At 34.3% G+C, this 9,014-nt stretch overlaps 1 non-coding gene across 1 annotated transcript; it reads left to right on the top strand.

Moving 5' to 3' along the window:
* Positions 1 to 308: 308 nt before the first annotated feature.
* On the top strand, positions 309 to 357 carry MIR2054 (microRNA 2054). The gene has a single exon (NR_031746.1). It is a non-coding gene; the product is annotated as a microRNA 2054 (primary transcript).
* Positions 358 to 9,014: the final 8,657 nt, after the last annotated feature.

Consider the following 9,014-nt stretch of genomic DNA (forward strand, 5'->3'; position numbering starts at 1 on the left):
CCAAAATGGAGATGCTTTGTGGTATCAAAATGTTAGAATAATCCTTTATACTCTTTTACTACTTCAGATTATTTCACTAAAATATCTTGGTGTATAAATTATATAAATATATTGAGATGGAAACTAATAATTCTACTTTGATCTCCCAATAGATGAGAGCAAGTGAGAATTAATTTATTTGCATTTTTCAGTGGTACAATTAGCCATCTGTTGATTGGCTTATTAATACTCCCATTGAATCCATGAGTTTTTGCTAGGTTTCCTTTGGCAACAATTAAGAAGCACCAGTGTGTAGATTCTCCTTCTTCCTGTAATATAAATTTAATTTATTCTCTATCATTAAAAAATGTATTACAGAGGAGCATATTAAAATATTCAACAGAGGGTAATTAGCTGTCTATGTTTTATATGCAGTAATAATGCTTGAGACTGCTTCTAAATTTAGTAAGTAAACTCAGGCTAGAGCAACACAAACTGGTTGTCTGAAGATAACAATTAATTCAGACAAACCAAGTGACTGATGGTCCCTTGTAGACTTGAGTTTTCTCCTGTTTCTCATATTGCTCAGTTTTATAATCAATAACAGAAGCAAAATTACAGAATTTTCTTTTGGTGAGATATAAATTTCCCCAGTGACTCTCACTGAAAGGCAGAGCAATCAGCAATGCACCAGATAATCTGATAGCAAGTATAAATTTGCTATATTTACATAAACATATTTATAAAACATATATTTATATAAACATATTTATATAGACATATATTTATATAAATATCAATAAATAAAATAAAATTTAAGTTAGCTAGTTTATTGTGTTATTTAAAAAGTCAAGGACATGAAGTTATCAAAACTAAAAGACTCAGAGCAAAACTTCTCCAAAAGAGTCACTTCATGATTAATCGGTCTCTAACCAGATTTTTTTAAAATTGTACTTCTTGGGGTAAAAGACAATTTAATCCTGATATCAGCTGATCTTTTGATTCTCCTACTTTAATGGCTAATTAATCACCTATTTTATTTCCAAGGCACAGATATAATTTGAGTCTGTTGAAATTTTACAGGTTGGGAGCAATCTAGATAGTTTAAAAATGCATACGTATACATTTGGTATAATCTTTGCAGGCTTTGAATTCTAGTGTCTTCAACTAATCTGGACTTCTTGTACGGAAATGTAATCTTTTCTGCCTCTAAACAATTGACAAAGGGCAAGAGTTTCTAAGGAGGAAGAAAAGAAAGTTGAAGAAAACCTGACATTTTGCACAACACTGGTTGAGAATAGGCAAAAAAAGAAAAAAAAAAAAAACATTTAGAACAGAACTGAAAACCCATTAAGTGTTCTGGGTCCTAGGGGATACCCATTGCTAGCCTGCTCAGCAGAAGTTTTTCCATTACAATTTTTTGTAGATAAGTACTTTAATAGTAAAATAGGTCGTTGTTTTCCTGCGACTCTCATTAAGCTATTCAAAGAAAACACTTATTCATTTTCCTTTATCATTACCTTCCTTAGTTAGAAAAGTCTGGATTTCAGTTTTTTTTGGTTGCTTGTTTATTTTTGATTTATATTAATTTTCCCTTATGAAGAAATCAATATAAGTCCCCCGTGATTTCTTGAAAGAATATATCTAAAGACATAGCATTTTGTTTTTAGGTGGGAAGTTTCAGTAAAATTGTTTTGTTTGCAAAACTACATCAAGTAAAAAGAGGTTCTGGAATTTTACATTTCATAGCAGTTTTCCTAAATAATCTAGAGAAAATGATTCCTAACTTTTACTTCATTAATAAGAAATAGTCTCACTTTAAGAAATAAAAAGATTTTAAAGCTAGACAAAAACAGATATTTTTGTAAAAATTCAAGTCAATATAAAAGCAATCCTTTCAAGAAATGAAATATTTTTCATACATTATTGTGAAAGAAAAAAATTCCTACACATTTAAACCAAGCATATGTATCACTCATTAAACAAAATAATGTAACTTCACTATATTTATACATTGCTGAAATATATTTAAATATTGAAATATTTTCTTTGAGCAAATATAGCCCACATTTTAAAAATAACCAAATGAATCTATAAAATCATAATTTAAAAAGTAACAACAAATGAAAATTAGATGTCAAGTTATTTTTTAAGAAAAAAGCAACATCCAAAAGCTTGGGTCTTCCTAATGTACTGCACAGAAAAACATCATATGCATTTTTATATGGTGCTCATATTATGATATGTTAACACGTGGTCTGCAAAATAAGATAAGCTCAAATTCATTACCTTCTGATAGTACCTGCCAGCAAGGTTGCTATGAACAATTTTGAATAAAAAAGTAATAAGACAGGCAGTAATATTGTTTGCTGAAACTAATTGAACAATAGGATGTTATTGGATCAGATGTAATTAATCTAATTGACTCTTGTAGAATTAAGTATAAGAAAAGACCCTTGGCACAAGTTGGTCAGTTGGTCAAAAATGACACACTAAGATCAATTTGTAACACTTCCAAAAAATATTAAATAATTCCTCCTTGTAATATTGTGTTAGTCTGTTCACACACTGCTATGAAAAAATCCCAAAGATTGGGTAATTTATAAAGAAAAGAGGTTTAACTGACTCACACTTCTGCATGGCTGCGAAGGCCTCAGGAAACTTACAATCATGGCAGAAGGGGAATCAAACATGTTCTTCTCCACATGGCAGCAGGAGAGAGAAGTGCTGAGCAAAAGGGGAAAAGCCCCTTATAAAACAATCAGATCACGTGAGAACTCACTCACTATCAAGAGAGCAGCATGAGGGTAACCACCCCATGATTCAGTTACCTCCCACCTGGTCCCTCCCATGGCATGTGGGGATTATGGGAACTATAATTCAAGATGAGATTTGGGTAGGGACACAGCCAAACCATATCAAATATTTTTCCTCATCAAATATATAGATGGTAGCATAATAATCACTCAATCTCCTGAGAGTTCAGCAGTTGGTGGTAACACAGTTCGTGGTATGGGTGGGTTGGTCATGTTTGAAGTAATCCATGACTTAATTAGCACTTACTAATAAAGGTGAATGATTTATACCCTTTTGCGTTCATCACTTCCTTTCTATATTCCTTCAGTAAAGGGCATTCTGTGTAAAAACAGAGAAAAGAGATAAAGCTGAAAAAGCCTGCATGAATCATATATTGTGGGTACTTCCTAGTTTCTTGTTTATACATTAACAATCCTAAGTAAGACAAGAAGAGTCACTCTCCTAAACCATTCCCCAAGTAAATACATTTGCCTTCCCAGATTCTAATCTGATCATTCATTTATTCAACAAATATTTATTCAGTGCCTCATTTATCCAGAAGACCAGGGTGAAGAAGACATAGAGACCCTACTTCACACATCTTAGAGTGCGGAGACATAGCAAATCTCTGAGTTATGCAGGAGTTTTGTGTATGCCAGCAAATGAAAGACAGCAGTGTGTCTACCTACATTTCCTATTGCTGCTTTAACTGTTTACCATGAATTTAGGGGCTTAAAATGACAAAACTTTATTATTTTACATTTCTGCAGGTCATAAGTCCAAAATCTGTTTTACTGAGCTAAAATCAAGGTGTCAGCAGGCCTGCATTCCTTCTGAAGGCTCTAGGGGAGAATCCATCTCCCTGCCTTTTCCAGCTTCTAGAAACCACCTGTAATCCTGGGCTCAAGGTGCCTTACTCCATCTTCAAAGTCAGCAGAGATCAAACCTTCTCTCTGATCTCTGCTTCCATGTTTACATCTCTCTCTGACTCTAATCCTCCTCCATCTCTCTTATAAGGTTGCATGTTTTTATATTAGGCCCAACTGGATAATCCAGAATAATTTCCTATCTCAAGATGCTTAATCACATCTGCAAAATCCCTTTCACATGTAAGGTATTACACTCACAGGTCCTTGGGATTTGGATATGGACATCTTTGGGGACTATTATTCAGACTACTGTAATGGCCAGTGATCTGTGATTGAAGAGTGAACAGTGGCAGAGCTTCATGAGTGAGGCAGACATCAGTTCTAGCTTGTTCAGGCTCTTGTATTAAGAATCGGTTTTTTACTAATGCAATGAAGAATCCTGGAAATGTTGGTTGTTTGTTCTGCTTAAATTTAAGAAACAGATTTACATGACCTAATTTTTGATATGATTTATTGTTTTATTAACAATAGATTAGAGTGAAGCAAATTGAAGAAAAAGGCTTATTTGTTTTCTAGATTTTAATATATTCATTTGGGAATGAAAGTGTTTGGAAAATGAAATAGGCAATTATTAAACTGGTGTTTGAGAGGTAAAATATTTTATTTAGTATGCTGTAAAAAGGAGCATTGACTTTTAGCCTCTATACTAGAAAAGTTACTAACTGTGAAGTTTGGAAAATTAAGGTCATAGTGCACATTAGATTTTTCATGAGTTTAGAGTTCATGATAAACTCTAAAATTATAGGTTGCTGCAGACAGTTAATTAAAAAAATAGTTCCAACATTATATAACTAATACAAATTACTCTAAGACACAATAGTCACAGCAGCGGTTCTCTGCCATAATTTGAATTGCCTCTTGAATTTGAATATGATTGTCTCAATTCCTTTATTTAGTTAAATTCTCATAAAATTTTGAAATGCCCTTCTAACTCTTCTGCGCTTGGTTTTATGACGAAATATAATCATCACATAAGTTACAAGTTGACAATCCTAAATATCTAGGTCATACATTTTCTTCATGTGATTTATTTGGAAAACATTTTGCCTAAAATTCTGGGATACAGTAAATCCCTGAGATGATTATCACTGGTTGTCAATGTCCTAAATTCATCTACTGAGAAAGAGCACCACTAGGTAGTAGCAATATTTACTGAAAGATCCTGTGCTGCAAACTCAGTGTGATTCCTGCCATTTCAAAGAGCAATCCTCTCCACAGCTGTAATGATTCTCTCACCTTGTAGCCCGCTGCCAGGTGATTTCTCACAGGAGAAGTTACGTTCACTTCTAGGGCATGGGTTCAGCTCTGATCTATGTTGACTAATTTGAACCATCTGAAGGCTGATTGTTGACCTCTGCTTAAAAGAAAATAAAAACTCAGTGGTTTCGAAACAATTTTAGACAACTGAAACTGAGGAAACTGGAAAAAAAAGGCAAGGCATGTTCTACCATAAAACTGTGGATGGTATCATGAATGCCACACACCTGCCCTCTGAAAATTCTTACCAGACTCTTATGGCTTGCAGTGTCTAATTAAATTCCTTAAGGGGCACAGCAATGGAAGTTCGTTTGCCTGTCTTGATGTACCTGAAGCAGCATTAATGTAGCTACTTAATGCATATGACATAGTTAGATTGGGTATTCAGTCCTAGATGAATGATCATCCACATTAAAAATCTACGTTATGAAATAAACACATGCTTAAAAATAATGCTTAGATATAAAGACGCTTCAAAACAAACATAATATTGGAAGTGTGCTGTGCCTTTCTGGCCACAGTCAACTTTTGTTTGCATTCCAAGTTACCCTCACTGCATTGAATACTTAGACAGGAAAAAGGTTGGGCATGAGCAGAGGCATTTTCAAGTGCATCAGGACAATTTTCCTTTGGTCGGCTTTTAAGAAAATCAAAACAATTAATAAGGAGGCCCACAGGAACAGTTTTTTGACATTTTGAAAATTTCACGAATGTTAAGCCCCACGATGCAATTTCTTTTTTCTACCTCTCAACAAAATTTAAGGATCTCTTACAGAAAGAGGGTGCTTAAGAATATGCAACTTCTCTGGGTAATCAGTCCTTACCTAGTGATTAAATAGTCTGGCTCCAAACCACCCAGCTCATTGTTTTTTTACCCACAGTGTGAAAGAAAAATCATCTTTGTGCCAACCCCACATCATAAAAAACCCTAACAATGTGTTGAGTGTGACTTAAGAACCCATAATGCATTTTTCATGAAGGTAAGGAAAATCCATTAAGGAGATTAATTTGTGTTTGGAGAGCCTATCCCTCTACAGCCAAAAATATTTGTTCTGTTAACTGCAGTTTGCTGATACACTATGATAGTGCTGCAGCCTAGTAAAGACATTGCTATCTATACCATTATATTTTCTGCAGATGGATTGTTTATGAATTATTAAATAGCTATTTCTTGAAGGAAACTGTAGGTTATAAAACTGTCTTTTTTCCTTTTGCTAATTATTATAGTTAATGGTGTTAAAAAGGCTAATTGAGGCCTAATGTTTTCTTCAGTAACATTTATGTTAGGGAAACCTCCTCTTTCATACCCAGGTAATGTTCATTTGCTACTATTCAGAAAGAACTTTCTAGGAAAAAGAAATATACTATCTATAATGCATTTTATAATTGGTTACCAACATTGTGCATTTAGCCATTTGATAACCTTGAAGAGAGGGACTTAAACGACTTGAGTTAAATTCTATAGTTAAACTTTTTGAAATAATAAGATAGACCTTTTATGTTATAAATAAATCACTTGAGTCACACAAACTCATTATGGTGAGATGTGATCCAAGGAAGGAAGAAGATTGTACAGTTTTATTCTTACACCACCTCCCAATGATTCAAATCATCAGTGGTTCTCAGCTTTGCTCATGGCTATTATCTGAAGCTCTTAAAGAATACAGATGCTTAGGTTCTGTCCTCTTAGTTTCTGATCTCACTGGTCTGGGATAGAGCCCAATGATTAAGAGTTTTCAAGTTTCTCCAGGTAATTCCAGTATTCAACCAAAGTTGAGAACCATTACACTGGAAAAAGAATAAAAGATTCTATGGGATTTATTTTCTAGTAATGGACAGAGGGAATACAAAAAAAGCAAAGTCAGTTGTTTCTTTTTTCAACATTTCTATCAACCAGCCTGGTTTCATAATTTTCTTCTTAAGGCTCTTCTAACTATGGATTATTAAGGAGGAATATTGTTGTTAACCAGGAATAGGAAGCATATGAGATCTGAGACTCTCAATTTTATAGCTGCTTTGTGCCTCAGAACTCTGAGAAGGAATAAGGACTATTACAAACTTTTTGACCAAGATGTTTACTGTACAATGACACACACCTGGTCAATCTAACCTAAGCTCCCCTCTTCGGGCTATATTCTGATGCAGGGATTTTTCTCCCACAGAAAGGGTGACCTTTAATTCATGCCAAGGTGGCACAGAAGATAGTGATAGACCTCCATGAAAGGGAAGACTCATGTTGTAGATTCAGTTATTAGGTTAGCCAAGAGAAGGTGCAGTTTCACCAACTTATATGCAGGAATACCTCAGAGATATTGTAGGTTCAGTTCCAGAGCACCACAATAAAACAAGTAATAGAAACTTTTTGACCCCCAAGTGCATATAAAAGTTATGTGTACACTATATTGTAGCCTATTGTGCAAAAGCATTATGTCTAAGAAAAAATAATTTGCATATGTTAGTTGAAAAATACTTTATTGCTATAAGATGCTAATGATCATCTGAGCCTTCAATGAATCATAATCTTTTTGCCAGTGAAGGATCTTGCCTCCATGTAGATGGCTGCTGACCAATCAGAGTGATGATTCCTTAAGTTGGAGTGGCTGTGAAAAAATTTAAAAATAAGACAAGTTTCTCACATCAATTGACTTTTCCTTTCATGGAAGATTTCTCTGTAGCATTTGATGCTGTTTGATAGGTAGCATTTTATGCACAGTAGAAATTCTTTCAAAACTAGAATCAATCCTCTGAAACCCTGCTACTTTTTATCAACCAAATTGATATAATACTCTAAATCCATTGTCAGCATTTCAAAAAGTTCACACCATCTTCAGCGGGAGTAGATTTTATTTCAATAAACCAACTTCTTTGCTCATCCGTAAGAAGCAATTCTTCATCTGTTCAAGTTTTATAATGAAATTACGGCAACCCAGTATCATCAGGTTCCACTTCTAATTCCAGTCCTCTTGCTATTTCCACCACATCTGCAGTTACTTCCTTCACTGAAGTCTTGATCTCCTCAGAATAATCCATCAGGGTTGGAATAAACTTCTTCCAAACACCTTTTAATATTGATATTTTGTCCTCCTCTAATGAATCATGAATGTTTTTCATAGAAGCTAGAATGGTCAATCCTTTCCAGAAGGTTTTTAATTTACTTTGTCCACATTCATCAGAGGTATCATTATCTATGGAATTTAGAGCTTTATAAAATGTGCTTCTTAAATAAAAAAACTTGAATGTCAAAATGACTCATTGATCCATGGGCTGCAGAATAGATGTTGTGTTACCAGGCATGGAAACAATGTTAGTCTTCTTGCACATCATTTTCAGAGCTCTTGAGTGTCTAGGCACATTGCCTATAATAATATTTTGAAAGGAATCTTTTTTTTCTGGCAGTAGGTCTCAACAGTGGGCTTAAAATAATCAGTAAACCACACTATAAACAATTGTGCTTTCATACAGTCTTTGTTGTTGCATTTATAGAGCACAGGTACGGTCAATTTGGCATAATTCTTGAAGGCACTAGAGTTTTTGAAATGATAAATGAGCATTGGCTTCAACTGCAAGTCACCAGCTGCATTAGCCCTAACAAGAGAGTCAGCCTGTCCTTTGAAGCATTGAACCCAGGCATGGATTTCTCCTTTATAGCTATGGAAGTCCTAGATGGCTTCCTCTTCCAAGTCAGTTTTTTCTATGTTAAAAATCCATTGTTTAGCGTAGCTACATTTAACAATTACCTTATCTAGATATTCTAAATAACTTATAGAAGCTACAGCTTCTATAACAGCACTTTCTTCTTCACCTTGCACTTTTATATTAAGATGGCTTTTTCTTAAACCTCATAAACCAAGCTCTACTAGCTTCAAACTTTTATTTTGACATTTCTTACCTCTTTCAACCTTCACAGAATTGAAGAAAGTTGGGGTCTTGCACTAGATTAGGCTTTGGTTTAAGAGAATGTTATGCCCAATTTGGTCTTTTATCCAAATCGCTAAAACTTTCTCCATCAGCAATAAGGCTGTGTTGCTTTCTTATCACTTGTGTGTTCACTGG

Source organism: Homo sapiens, chromosome 4 (assembly GCF_000001405.40).
Source record: "Homo sapiens chromosome 4, GRCh38.p14 Primary Assembly".
Taxonomy (NCBI): domain Eukaryota; kingdom Metazoa; phylum Chordata; class Mammalia; order Primates; family Hominidae; genus Homo; species Homo sapiens.